This window comes from Homo sapiens, chromosome 6 (assembly GCF_000001405.40).
Source record: "Homo sapiens chromosome 6, GRCh38.p14 Primary Assembly".
Lineage (NCBI taxonomy): Eukaryota > Metazoa > Chordata > Mammalia > Primates > Hominidae > Homo > Homo sapiens.
In genome coordinates, this window is record NC_000006.12 from 18274591 (window position 1) to 18289859 (window position 15269).

The window sequence follows — 15269 nt, forward strand, 5'->3', positions numbered from 1 at the left end:
CCCAAGCTCAAGAGATCCTCCCACCTCAGCCTCCTAAGTAGCTAGGACTACAGGCCAATGGCACCACACCTCGCTAATTTTTCAATTTTTTTTTGTAGAGATAGTGTCTCTCTATGTTGTCCAGGCTGTTTTGAACTCCTGGCCTCAAGCAGTCCTCCCACCTCAGCCTCCTAAAGCAGCCTCCAAAGCTCACGGTATGAAACGCGGTGCCTGGCCTAATGTAGAATTTTTTTAAATTTTTTATTTTAAAAAAATATTTTAAAAATTTCAGTAGCTTTTGGGCTACAAGGGATTATTGTTATATGGATGAATTGTGGTGAAGTCTGAGATTGCAGTGCACCTGTCAGCTGAGTAGTGTACATTGTTACCAATATGCAATTTTTTATTCCTGACCCTCCTACCCTGCCCTGTTCTGGGTTTCCAATATCCATGATTACCCCTCTATATGCCTTTGTATATCCATAGCTTAGCTCCCACTTATAAGTGAGAACACTTGGTATTTGATTTTCCATTTCTGAGTTACTTCACTTACAATAATGGCCTCCAGCTCCATCCAAGTTCCTGCAAAATACATTATTTCCTTCTGTTTTTAATGACCAAGTAGTAGTCCTGGGTGTGTATGTACCACATTTTCTTTATCCTGAAGTGCAATTTGTAAAACATGGTCTAGACGACTCTACATGATCTGACTTCTGTTCATCTCTCTAGCCTTGTCTCTACATTGTTCCTCCCAGTCTCCCACCCCAAAGAAAAGATCCTCCAGCCATAGTGAATGGCCATGTTCCTTCTTACCTTTGGCTTTCTCTCCATGTTGGTGCTCCTACTGGAAAACTTTTTCTTCTCCTATTTTCCTGTTCTGGGCCAAATTACCCTCACTCTTAAGGTCTCACCTATACTGCCCCGGATGTGTCATCCTCCATCAGAGCATCTACTTTTCACAGCCTGTTTTCTTGTCTACACCCTCCTTTTCTTGTCTACACCCTCCTTCCCAATCGGCTTGATGAGAGCAGGAATGTTGTCTTTCTGATAGCTCTTCCATCCTCAGCACCCAGTGTTTATTGAACGCTTGCTAGTGTGAGACTGGCAAGTATTTATTCTGACAGAAGAAAAAAGAATGCCAGGCCAGGCGCAGTGGCTCATGCCTATAATCCCAGCACTTCAGGAGGGCAAGGGGGGAGGATCATTTGAACCCAGGAGTTTAAGATCAGCGTGGCCGACATGGCGAAACCCCCTTTTTACAAAAAATGCAAAAATTAGCTGGACATGGTGGCGCGTACCTATAGTCCCAGCTACTCTGAGGCTGAGGCAGGAGGATTGCTTGAACCCAAGGTCGAGGCTGCAGTGAGCCATGACAGCACCACTGTACTCCAGCCTGGGTGTCAGAGCAAGACCTTGTCTCAAAGAAAAAAAAGAATGCCTGTGTAGTCTTTGGTTGACCTCCCTCCTCCCTCTTCACCTCTTCTTACATCAGCTAAGCTGGTTCTTTCAGTTGTAGTAACTTGATTGGTGAGTTTATCTTCTGATATCTGCCTTCTATCTAGTAGACAAACCTGACAGTTTTTAGTAAGTGCCCATTTTTCAGCCTTCAGATGAGAAACTTATTTGATAAATTTAGAAAAAGACAGTGGATTAATATGGTGTCTCTTTAATAGATATTTGCATTTTCCAGGGCCCTGTTACAAACTGGTTGAGAAGTTGATTCCTAGCAGCGTTTATAATATGACTATGAATAATGCTTTACTGCCTTTAACATATTTCATAAATATATACTATTAATATATTGATAGGTGAATGAGTGAGTGGAGTGCCATTTAACAATTCAACTTCCACATTCCCAGTAGGGGTTATGTCACTCTCTGGCTCCTGGGAGTTAGTGATACCGTCATGTTTCTTTGTTATTTTTAAATTACTTTTTTTATTTTATTTACTTCAAAGTTTTTTATTAACTTTAAAAATCTTTTCTATTCTTTTATAATTTATTTATATTATGCCCTCAAACATCCTTCTATCCAAGATACCGTCATGTTCCCAGGATCCCTTCCCGTCGTTCTTTTTCTCTGCCCTTTGCTGGTTTTCTCCATTAGAACTCTCTTCTTTGAACACATCCACCTGCTTCTTTCCAGAACCTGAGCCTCAGAACTGAGTCTTAAGTGAGAACAGAGGCTCCGGGCATGCTCGGTAACCAAAGCCAGGGTGTAATTAACTGCTCTTGCCCTGAGGCAGGGCCCTTACAGGTGGCAAGTACCAGCGCTGCTGGGAAGAGACTTGCTCTGTCTTGTGCAGTTGAACACACAACTGCTTTCTGAGGCCAATCTAACCTCCTGGCAACCCAAGTTTATAAAGTGGGGATGTCTGCATTTTCAAAACAATAAAACGTAAGGAGTTATTTTGGACAAATTAAAATGCCTGGCAGGAGATTCTCAAGAGTTCAACCTATACACGAATATCAAGTGTTAAATAATGCTGTGGTTAAGACAAAAAAGAGGACGGAGCCAGGGTATGAATATAAATGGTGCCCTACTTTGAACCTCATTGGGCAGATCAAAGATTTTTAAAAGGTTTTCTGAAGTTGCCCAGCGCCTAGAATTTCAAGGACCGCATTCGCTGCCTCCTTCCTAAAGAGGGTGCGTTTGTGGGGAAGGTGAGTGCGCGCGCGCGGAGGGAGGGCCGGCCGCGGAGAGGGGCCAAAACTCTTCGGAATCAGCAGCCAGAGAGGCTCTGAGGGCGCCCGCGGGGCGGAGGGGAGCGGGGCAGAGGGCCGCCGGGGCGAGGGCCGAGGAGGGGTCCGAGACGCGCCAAGGGGCTGGTAGCTAGGCGACCTGAATGTCTTCCATACCTGAACCCGCAGCCTGAAGAAGCTGATAGCGGACCCCGAGCGCGCGCGCGCCTTGGCGGGAGCCCTGCGCCTCCCGGGGTCTCCCTGCTCCTTACTTGGACCTCGGGCGCAAGGTAAGGAGGGGCACGGGGTGCAGCGTTCGCCCTCGAGCTGCCTGGAGCCTCTGCGAGGGGCCAGTTCGGCCTCCCCGAGGCTGTCACCGCCTCCCCTTCTGCTCCTTCCCTTTCTCCGTCCCCAGGTCCCCTCCGCGCAGAGCTGAAGCCGCGGCGGGCGGCCCACGGGGGATCAGACCCTCGGGCATCCGCGTTTCCCCTCCGCCGTCCGCCGGACCCCCACCTCTTCTCCAAGCTCCACTCCCGACTTTTCTTCCCCGCCCCCGGGAAGCTCTGGAAACCCGCACCCCCGGCTCTGAGGTCAGGGCTGGCAGGAGTAATCCACCCTTTCCAGGTGTGTGGCGCAAACACGGACGCAAAGATCTCCCCTAGGGTCTGTAACAATTTCCAGGCTGAAAGGTGATAACTCCTTCTCCTTCCATAACATACCTTCCCCCCGCCCCCACTTCCTTTACTATCCTAACTTTGGGAGGAATATTGATTCTTGATCAAAGTAAATGCACTGTCTTACCTTTGGTATCGGCACAGGCTGAGGTGGTTTTTTCCCCCCTTAACTATTATGATAAGTGTACAAGGTTTTCAGGGTGACTGCGGTGCTACAACTTTATAACAACTTAAAGCAAAAGCTCTTAGGCGCTGGGGAAAAAAGCTGGACCCCACTCTGAAATCTCGATTCAGAAATCTGGTGTGTGTGCGTGTGCGTGCCTGCATGCGTGTGTGTGTTCAGGCTTGAGTAGATTTAAAAAGCACCTCAGGTGATTGTGATGCCCGCCCCCGCAACATACCCCCAAGTATCTGTAAGGTCCGCAAAGAAGAGAGAGGGGCCACCCACTGTGGCTAAGCATCAGTTGAAACTATTAGTGTGAATTGAAAATAAAAACAGTGAAAGGGATGAAAGCCAGTTCCCCTCAAGTTGATTAATGTGATTGGTGCGGTATCATTGGATCTGAGAAGGTAATTTTTTTAAATTTCGTTTTTATTTTTTGAGACGGAGTTTCGCTCTGTCGCTCAGGCTGGAGTGCTGTGGCCCGATCTCGGCTCACTGCGACCTCCGCCTCCAGGGTTCAAGTGATTCTCCTGCCTCAGCCTCCCGAGTAGCTGGGATTACAGGTATACGCCACCATGCCTGGCTAATTTTTGTATTTTCAGTAGAGACAGGGTTTCACCATGTTGGCCAGGCTGGTCTCGAACCCCTGACCTCAAGTGATCCACCCGCTTCGGCCTCCCAAAGTTCTGGGATTACAGGAGTGAGCCATAGCGCCTTGTCCGAGACAGCAATTTTGGAAAGGGAGAGTTAACATTCATTTGAAACTCTGATATAACATTGGGGGAAATGCATACTTCTAGGAGACCTGGTTAAACAGCTTTTAAATATCAATTTTTAAAATATAAGAATTCCTTCACAAGTACCCTGACAATTAGAAGGGGCTGAGGCCCATTCTCCAGAGAATCAGAAAATCTTCCTTCACTGCTCCCTTGACTTTTTGTCGATGATGGAATGCAGCCCATTGACATTTTTACATTTTTCTTACTTTAAGGCTAAAGACTCAAATGGACTATTATCTCTAGGAACTAGAAGGAACAGTGATCATATTAATTAATTTAGATCCTGTTTTCACTCCTAATTATTTGAACCAAGTTCTTCTATCCTGAATTGATTAAGAGAGTCTGTAAATTATATCATATTTACAGAAATACTAAATGTTTCTCCATCTTGAACTTTGTCATCGATGCATGTCTGCTACTTTTCATATATTCATATATGTACCTGAACCATTATAAGTACTTATCCAACTATCAGAAGGTAACTACCAGGGAAAATAAAGATTTTTATTTTCTGTCTTTTGAAAAATTGAGGTGAAGGACCAATTTTTTAAAGTACCCTTAAGTAGTTATAACATTAAAGCTTACATTTCTTTTTATGAAACCAGATGCCTGTTATGAAATAGGGATGATATTCCATACCCGCTTTCAAGGATATTAAGGACAAGCAGGAGGCTGTCTGTAAAGCATTTTGAACTTTTAAGAAAAGAATCACTGTCTAGAGATTGAGCCAATGTGATTGTTTTCCTGGCAAACTTTTTCTCCTTTCTAAAATTAACTTTCCCCCAGGAAAAATAGTGCAGATGCGCATGATTCGGTCAACCAAGTCCAGAAAATACTGTCTGAATTTTAAAAGTGACCTTAATTCATCCCTATAGATCTAATGTTTGCAACCTATGCCACAAAATATGCAGAAATATTCATTGCTTGCTGACCTTTGCAAAGTGTTAGCTTAGTAAGGGTAGTCATGGACAGAGCACAATATAAAATTTATTGGTTTAGGCAAAACTATTAACATTATTTTCCTAAGGTTTTTGTGGACGTGTGTACACTGGTTCTGGGACTTCTATAAATATGTATATGTTGCATATGTTTTTAATAGGAACAAAAACCCACAATAATTTTTTATTTGTGGCAGAACACTGTAAGCATTAGGTTTTGATTACTTTTTGATGGAAATTTTAAAATGACAGAACTGAGAGCTTCAAGGAAATAATTTCATAAAGATCTATTTGGAACGAGAAGACCTTTTTTTAAAAAAAGATGTTTGAAGCCCAAAGTCTGTATGCTTAGCCTCCATAGAACGGTCCTTTGTGAGTGAGTAAGGGTGGTAGATCCAGTTTTGGCAACCTCAGACGATGGATGATTAGACTCTGCCACTCTTCTCCAGACCTTTAATTTGGTCTGTAACTTGATGCTTCACTGACCCTACGCTATCCCTGCCACGCTAACTCACAGAGGAATTGTTGGCACTCTGAATTGAATTTTTTTCCCCTCCCATCAGTTAGAACATGTTTGCATAGGTTGCAGAATGCAGTTACATTTTTAGCTCAGTATTCTAAGAAATAACTTTGGCCACGGAGAGCATAGCCTTAGTGCAGCCTACACTACAAATTGCCTTATTTCATTGAGCTATGATAACTTACCAATGATTCAGCTATGTAGAAGTAATAGCGTTATAGAGTATTAAAATTAGAAGGCACTTTAAAAGTCATCTAGATTTTAATCATTTCTTTCTACAGATGAATACCGAAGTGCTCATAAGTATAATCCAAACTGAGAATAGACATTGAATTTTATATTCTTTCCAATTCTTGTAGTAATGAGAATTTTGTTCATTTGAAATGAATTTATATATGAATTTAATAATGTAGCAGTGACAGCAAAGTGGTTGCAAATCTCAGCTAGATATTCAACAAAACTCAGAGTGTGGCATTAGGCTGGGAGCAGTGGCTCACAACTGTAATCCCAGCACTTCGGGAGGCTGAGGCGGGAGAATTGCTTGAGCCTGGGAGTTGGAGACAGCTTGGGAAAGATGGCAAGACCTGTGTCTACAATTAATTTTTTTTAAAATAAAAATTTAAAAAAAGCATGGCATTAAAGGCAATGTAGGTCATTTACAAAGGCAGTGAACTACTCTATAGCAGCATCCTAGGTTTTTCATTATATTGAATGGAACTACTTCAACTGACTGACACAAGAAAAGAGTAGTACACTAAGAGAGCTGAGTGTAGAGAGAGGAAGGAGTAAGGTCATGGGTGTGTGAAGAGCATGACTTAATAAATCAGCCAATCATTCAGGAATGGTTAGCTTTCACACCCTATCCCGGAGATTTTCATATGAACTAATGGAAACTATCACTGGAGGTTCTAGCTCTCAAAATTCTATTTCCTTTTCTTTTTTTTTTTTTTTTTTTTTTCCTGAGACAGGGTCTCGCTCTGTCACCCAGGCTGGAGTGCAGTGACGCCATCTAGGTTCACTGCAGCCTTGACCTCCTGGGCTCAAGCAATCCTTCTACTTCAGCCTCCTGAGTAGCTGGTACCACAAGTGTGCACCACCATGCCTGGCTATTTTTTTTTTTTTTTTTTGTAGAGACTGAGTTTTGCCATTTTGGCCGGGAGCAAACATATTCAGCCAGCCAAGTCCACACTGGTCCAGGCTCCCAGGCTGGTCTCAAAGCCCTGAGCTCAAGCAATTCACCTGCCTTGGCCTCCCAAAGTGCTGGGATGATAGGTGTGAGCCACTGTGTCCAGCCTCAAAATCTTATTAATTAAAGCTTCTCCTGGCAGTAGTAGTACTAGTTTTTTGTTGTTGTTCTTCTTCTTCTTTTCTTCTTCTTTCTCCTTCTTCTTCGTTCTTCTTCTTCCTACTTTTCTTCATCTTCCTTGTCTTCGTCCTCTCCCTCCTCTTCCTCCTCCTCTTCCTCTTCTTCCTCTTCCTCCTTCCTCCTTTCTTCTTCTTCTTTCTTCTTCTTTTTATTTAAGAGACAGTGTCTTGCTCTGTTACCCAGACTGGAGTGCAGTGGCACAATCATAGTTCACTGCAGCCTCGAACTCCTGGGCTCAGGCATTCCTCCGGCCTTGGCCTCCTGAAGTGCTGGGATTACAGGCACAACCCACCACACCTGGCCTGGAAGTCCTACTTCTTGATGCTTTTGTCTTTCAAGATCATCTGTCTTGAAGATCTACTCTCACTAGTTGTAAAATAATTTGTCCTCATATATAGGCACTGAAAGGATTGAATTCAATCTTGAGAGAACATTTAGAGAGATATTCTTGCTAGTACCACAATTTACTACCATTTATTGAGGTACTTTACCTACATTAAGAAAATATCTTTACGGACCTAAGAAGTAGCCATTATTATTCCCTTTATACAGATCTGTGATTCAGAGAAGGGAGCATCTTGATCAAGGTTGCATACCCTTCTAACATTCCACATTGCTTCCCTAATAGATACAAGCTGTGGAGTGAGTCTATAGATGATTATATACTCATTTTAAGATATCTGGCCAGGCGTGGTGGCTCACGCCTATAATCCCAGCACTTTGGGAGGTCAAGGTGGGTGGATCACGAGATCTCCTGATCATCCTGGCTAACATGGTGAAACCCAGTCTCTACTAAAAATACAAAAATTAGTCGGGTGTGGTGGCACGTGCCTGTAGTCCCCGCTACTCAGGAGGCTGAGGCAGGAGAATCGCTTGAACCTGGGAGGCTGAGGTTGCCGCGAGCCAAGATCGTACCACTGCACTCCAGCCTGGGCAACAAAGCAAGACTCCTTCTAAAAAAAAAAAAAAAAAAAAAAGATATCTGAGCTATTTCCTAATTCTGAAAAGACTTTGCAACTAGGGCAGAGATCTTGGTCTGTTATGTTTGGTGATATATCCCAAATGCCTAGAAAAGCACTTGACACATTTAGGAAATACTTGTGGAATAGAAATGTTTAGTTTGGTGTGATCCTTCCAGATGTTTTACTATGAATTTACATGCATATACACAAGCCTAGAAAATAATAGCAAAAAGGTGTGTTTTTATATCTCATACATGAACTTCAAGATAATTCAGGTGTTACCTCAAAATTTCCCTCAATCACAGCACTTAGTGCACTGTATTGTCATTGTCTAATTATTTGTCAGTCTCCCTCATTAGACTGTGAGCTCCTTGAGAGTAGGAAGCATGGTTTTTTTTTTTTTTCATCTCTGTATCCCCAGGGATAGCACATAGTAGGACATAATAAATGTTGAATGGTTAAAAAATAAAAAATGTGTTCCAAAGCAGAATGAATCCTTAATAATCAAGATGTCTTTAAACATACATTTAAAAAAATAATTTCATAAACTTTTGGTGATTTACAAGACATCTATAATATGATAAATTTGCACACTCTCCATTGCATTTTTTTTTTTTTTTTTTAAACAGAGTCTTGCTCTGTCACCCAGCTGTAGTGCAGTGGTGTGATCTCAGCTCACAGCAACCTCTACCTCCCAGGTTCAAGCCATTCTCCTGCCTCAGCCTCTGGAGTAGTTGGGACTACAGGCTCATACCACCACACCCGGCTAATTTTTGTATTTTTAGTAGAGATGGGGTTTTGCCATATTGGCCAGGGTGGTCTCAAACTCCTGACCTCAAGTGATCCGCCCACCTTGGCCTCCCAAAGTGCTGGAATTATAGACATGAGCCACTGCACTTTGCAGGTGATTCTTTACTGCACGATAACTTTTTATTCGAGGCTTTTTAGGAGTTCTGTCTTTTAGTGTCATCATCCTGCCAGAGCAGTTATAAATTAAAATGTGTACTACTTTATTAGAATTTACTTTATGTAAATTAAAATGTATACTACTTTATTAGAATTTACTTTATGTCTCCTTTATGTTATAATCAGGAGGTTGAATTGTTTTGTTTTTAAAGTATGTATGTATTTGGCTATATTTTCTATTTCACTTCAAGATATAAAAGGGGTAGCTCACAAAATATTTGTTTTAAAAATGAACATTAGTCTGGTAGGGTTCAAGAGTCATTGTTCTATACAAAATATTTATTAATCTGAGACAAATCTAACAATTTAGCAGTAGTACAAATTTTACCTTCAGTTCCATGAATTTTTATATATATATATATATATATATATATATATATATTTTTTTTTTTTTTTTTTTTTTTTTTTTTTTAGATGGAGTTTCATTCTTATTGCCCAGGCTGGAGTGCAATGGTACAGTCTCGGCTCACTGCAACCTCTGCCTCCCAGGTTCAAGCGATTCTCCTGCCTCAGACTCCCAAGTAGCCAGGATTACAGGTGCCATGCCTGGCTAATTTTTTTGTGTTTTTAGTAGAGTCAGGGTTTTACCATGTTGTCCAGGCTGGTCTTGAACTCCTGACCTCAGGTGATCAGCCCGCCTTGGCCTCCCAGAGTGCTGGGATTACAGGCTTGGCCAGAATTTATACATTTTAATCTGCTTCTTTTGGCCTTTGTTATTTATTATGCTTTGTTATTTATTATGGCCTATGTTATTTCTTACATGAAGAGGTGAACAATTGCCTCATTACAATGGAATCTTAACACTTCTACCCTAGGAGAAAGCCTTGCATCTGGAGAGGGCTCTCTTTCTCTTTCACTACCATTCTTCCAATGCATTTGTTTCCATATCCCGAAAGGCAAAGGCTATTCTCTGAATTAGGAGGTTCATAGAAAACCTTTGTAAACACTTTGAAAGGCTCTACTTTGGGCCTAGTACAGAAAGCAACTGGCCCTCAGCCATTCTCTTGGCAGGGGTCAGCTTCCTGGTCTGCAGCTTGGGAACGTTGACAGAATGTGTGCCCCTTCCCACCTTTGTCCCCTTTTTTGGAGAGTGCGTAATTAATGCCTCATGAAATCTTGCTTTAAATTTTCAAGCTAGCCAGGTATGGTGGCTCACACCTGTAATCCCGCCACTTAGGGAGGCAGAGGCGGGAGGATCGCTTGAGGCATGGAGTTTGAGACCAGCCTGGGCAACATAGCAAGACCTTGCTTTTCACACACACACACACACACACATACACACACACACACACACACACACGGAAAAAAAGTCAAGCAACTGCTTTTAACAATACTTTCCCCCATAATATTTAATTAGTCATGATTTGTTTTCTTCTAAAGTCATACTCTCAGCCAGGCATAGTGGCTCATACCTGTAATCCCAGCACTTTGGGAGGCCAAGGTGGGTGGATCATGAGGTCAGGAGTTCAAGACCAGGCTGGCCAACATAGTGAAACCCTCCTCTATTAAAAATACAAAAATTAGCCAGGCATGGTGGCACACACCTGTAATCTCAGCTACTCGGGAGGCTGAGGCAGGAGAATCACTTCAACCTGGGAGGTGGAGGTTGCAGTGAGCTGAGATCGTGCCACTGCCCTCCAGCCTGGGCGACAGTGTAAGACTCTGTCTCAGGAAAAAAAAAAAAAAGTCATATTCTCCATTAGCATACTTTATCATCATTTAAATATTTTCTGGGAAACCATGTGAGCAGAAAGAGGTAAGAGTATTTGGAGAGTATTACATTTAAAATTGTTTTTATATCAATTTAAATTTATAAATAGGCTTATGGGCCAGGCACAGTGTCTCACAGCTGTAATCTCAGTATTATGGGAGGCCGAGGTGGGAGGAGGATCCCTTGAGCTCAGGAGTTCGAGACTGGCTTGGGCAACATAGTGAGACCTTGTATCTACAAAATTTTTAAAAAATTGATGAGCGGGTGTGGTGACTTATGCCTGTAATTCCAGCACTTTGGGAGGCAGAGGTGGGCAGATCACTTGAGGCCAGGAGTTTGAGAACAGCCTGGCCAATAGAGTGAGACTCTATCTCTACTAAAAATACAAAAAAAAAAAAAAAAAAAATAAGCTGGGTGTGATGGCGCATGCCTGTACTCCCAGCTACTCAGGAGTCTGAGGCACGAGAATCACTTGAACCTGGGAGGCAGAAGTTGCAGTGAGCTGAGATCGCGCCACTGCACTCCACCTTGGGCAACAGACTCACTTGGGCAACATGTCTCAAAAATAAATAAATAAATAATAAGTAAATAAATAATTAGGTGTGGTGGTGCACGCCTGTAGTCCCAGCTACTCGGGAGGCTGAGGCAGGAAGATTGCTTGAGCCAGGGAAGTTGAGGCTGCAGTGAGCTATGGTCATGCCACTACACTCCAACCTGGGCGATAGAGGAAGATCCTGTCCCTAATAAATAAATAGGCTTATGAAAAAGGTTAAGGAGCATTTCAGGCAATTGCCTTATTTTACATTTTTGGTTGGGAAAATACAGAGGACTTTAAAGATGAATATCAAAACTACCTCCAAATCTACCATCCAGAGATAACCACATTTAACAATTTGGTATGACTTTCATAGTTATTTACTACAATAATGTGTGTGAGTATATATGTGTACTAATTTTGTTGTTACAGAATTGACACTTTTTTCTATGCATTTTGCTTTTTGACCTACTTTAAAAGAATTTAACAATATATCATAAGAATTGCCCATGCTATTGAGAGTGTTTCTTTTGTTATCTGGATAATACTATTATGTTTGCTCACTTTCCCTGTGATAGTTTGGAAGGTAGTTCTCATATTTTAAATATCCACTACTGCTGCCTTTCGGGTTTTTGTTTGTGTGTATGTATATATGTATATGCTAATGTTTTTGTTTGTGTGCGTGTGTATATATATATATATATATATATATATATATGCACATGTATATGCATGTTTTCCCTAATCAATGCCAGGAGAAAACGGTATTTATTAACTTTATTTCTGCAAGATGGGAAAGTTGGCACATTTACTACCTCTCTCTCCAACTCCCACGTTTCCTAGTTTTTTGTTGATACAATCTAGGATTATTTAAATCAATTATTATCATTATTAATAAATGCTGAAGTCATATATTTTCTTTTTGTATTAGGTTATTTCTTGCTTCTGGCTTTATTATTTAAAAACTGTAAAATCGACAAATAATTGTACATATTCATGCAGTACATAGTGACGTTGTGATACATATAATGTATAGTGATCAGATCACAGTAATTAGCATATCCATCATCTCAAACATTTATCATTTCTTCATGTCGGGAACATTCAGTATCTTCCTTCTAGCTATTTGAAACTATATACATTCAATATCTTCCTTCTAGCTGTTTGAAACTATGTATTATTATTAACTAGAGTCATCCTACAGTGGTATAGAACACTAGAACTTAGTCCTCTTTCCTAGCTGTAATTTTGTTCTGGTGAGCCCAGATCGCACCAGTGCACTCCAACCTGGGTGATAGAGTAAGACTCTGTTCCAAAAAAAAAAGAAATGCATTCTGATTTGCTTTACCACTTCAGGGAGAAGGGAGAGAGCAAGACACAGACGATATTAGAGAAGGGAATTTGGACTTTACAAAATTTTCTTTGCTATAAAATGTCTGAATTTCATTAACATATAAGCCTTTTGTTTCAGTCTGCAAATGTTTATACATTATCTTATTTTATCCTTAAAACAATTGCTTTAGAGTCAAATAATCATAACCTCTGAATTCAGAAGGTTGTGGACTGAATACTTCCCTAATGATGGAACTTCTTGCGGATTACTTAAGTTTTCTTAACCTCATTTCCTTCGCCTGGAAACCAGCGTTTGAACTCTGGGAAAAGGTAACATCTACCTCATAGAGTTGTAAATATTGTGGGAGATAATTATATAGGAATTGTCAGAACCCAGACTGATGATAATAGCCATGCCCTGAGTTAGCCCAGGAGTGTGAAGCGGAGAGACCTTCAACAATGGAACCCTGAGGACATAGAGGAGAAGTCAACAGGAGGCTGAGAAGGAGTAGCCAGAGGGTAGGAGGAAGACTAGAAGAGAGTGAAGTCGGGGAGTTAAAGGGACTATAGACATTTAAGATGAAAAGAATAGTCATTAGTGTCATGTATTATGACAAAGAAATTTCCGGTAGCTTTGGCAATTAGGAACTTAGTGTGAGCTCAGCCACAGGCAGTTTCAGTAGAGATATGCAGGTAGAAGGAAGACTGTAGTTGGATTGATTAATGAGGTTAAGGAAGCAAGGAAAGTGTAAACAGCCAATAAAAAAAAAAAAAATGTTTCTCCCTTAGGAGAAAGGGAAAGCATAGAGAAAGGAGAGAGGTGGGTCAGTAGCTAGACAGATACTTAAGATTGGGAAACTGGATTTAGATTTGAAGGAATAGCAAAATTTTTTAAAAATTTAAGGACTAGGCTGGGCGCAGTGGCTTATGCCTGTAATCCCAGCACTTTGGGAGGCCGAGGCGGGCGGATCACTAGGTCAGGAGATCGAGACCATCCTGGCTAACACAGTGAAACCCCGTGTCTACTAAAAATACAAAAAAATTAGCCGGGCATGGTGGCAGGCGCCTGTAGTCCCAGCTACTCGGGAGGCTGAGGCAGGAGAATGGCGTGAACCCGGGAGGCGGAGCTTGCAATGAGCCGAGATTGCGCCACTGCACTCCAGCCTGGGCGACAGAGCGCGACTCTGTCTCAAAAAAAAAAAAAAAAAAAATTTAAGGACTAAAAGTTTGCCATATTTAAATTTTTTCAAGTAAGGATATTAAAAATACTACTATCTAGGCTGGGCATAGTGGCTCACACCTGTAATCCTAGCACTTTCAGAGGCTGAGGCAGGCTGATAGCTTGAGCCCAGGAGTTTGAGACCAGGCTGGGCAACATAGTGAAAACCTGTCTCTACAAAAGATACAAAAATTAACCAGGTGTGGCGGCATGCACCTGTAGTCCCAGCTACTTGGGAGGCTGAGGTAGGAGGATCGCTTGAGCCCAGGAGGTTGAGGCTGCAATGAGCCATGATTGTGCCACTACACTGCTGCCTGGGCAACAGAGTGAGACCCTGTCCCAAAATGAATGAATAAATAAATAAATAAAATTACTACCTAATATTATTTCAGAAAAGACAGAAAATACTAACATTTAAAAATTGAATAACCTAACTTTGTGAGAAAGTTAGTATCTCAGTGAAGATTTTCTTTTCCTGCTTAAGAGTGTCTTTTCCCCGCTGGTTGAAGGTTCCATCTCTCCTTGTTTAGGGATTTGGCTTAATCAGTTTTCTTCTCTCAAATACTTTCAACGTCTTCTTCTCTATTGACTCTTTTCCATTAGCAAATAAGCATAGTCTACTCACCTATCTTAAAAAAAAGCACAGGTCAGCTGGGCACGGTGGCTCATGCCTGTAATCCCAGCACTTTGGGAGGCTGTGAGGGTGTTTGGTCAGGAGTTCGAGACCAGCCTGACCAATATGATGAAACCCCGTCTCTACTGAAAATACAAAAATTAGCTGGGCGTGGTGGCGGGCACCTGTAGTCCCAGTTACACGGGAGGCTGAGACAGGAGAATGGCCTGAACCCGGGAGGTGGAGGTTGCGGTGAGCTGAGATCGCACCACTGCACACCAGCCTGGGTGACAAAGTGAGACTCCGTCTCAAAAGAAAAAAAAAAACACAGGTCAAAGTTAGTGAGAACCTAAATGAAAGTTGTGGCAGAGGGGATTGGGAGGAGGGGCTAGATGGGATAGATGGGATATAAATAGTGTTAATGGGACTTGGTGACTGATTGAATACGGCAGGTGAGAGATAGAGGGAGGAATCTAAAAATAAATCCTAGAGACCTGGTTTGGGTTTATGGTACACGGTGCAGTCATAGAAAAGGAGGAGCAGGGCTGGGAGAATGAAAACCTGTAACTTCAGTCCAATGTGCCTTAGGGTGTGTAGGTCAGGAACTCTGACTCTGCCTTTGAATCCTGCTCCTGTATCCTCCTAACTAAGCTTCCATTCTACCTCAACACCCATTGTCATGACTCCTTTTCATAGTTGGCCCTTAAGCCTTCATTTCTGGGGTTATTTAACTATTGGGAGTTCAAACCCTGCTTCCTAGAGTTTGTGAGCCAACAGAATGTGTTTGTTTGTTTGTTTTTGTTTTCATTTTTGTTTTCTGAAAACAAATGAA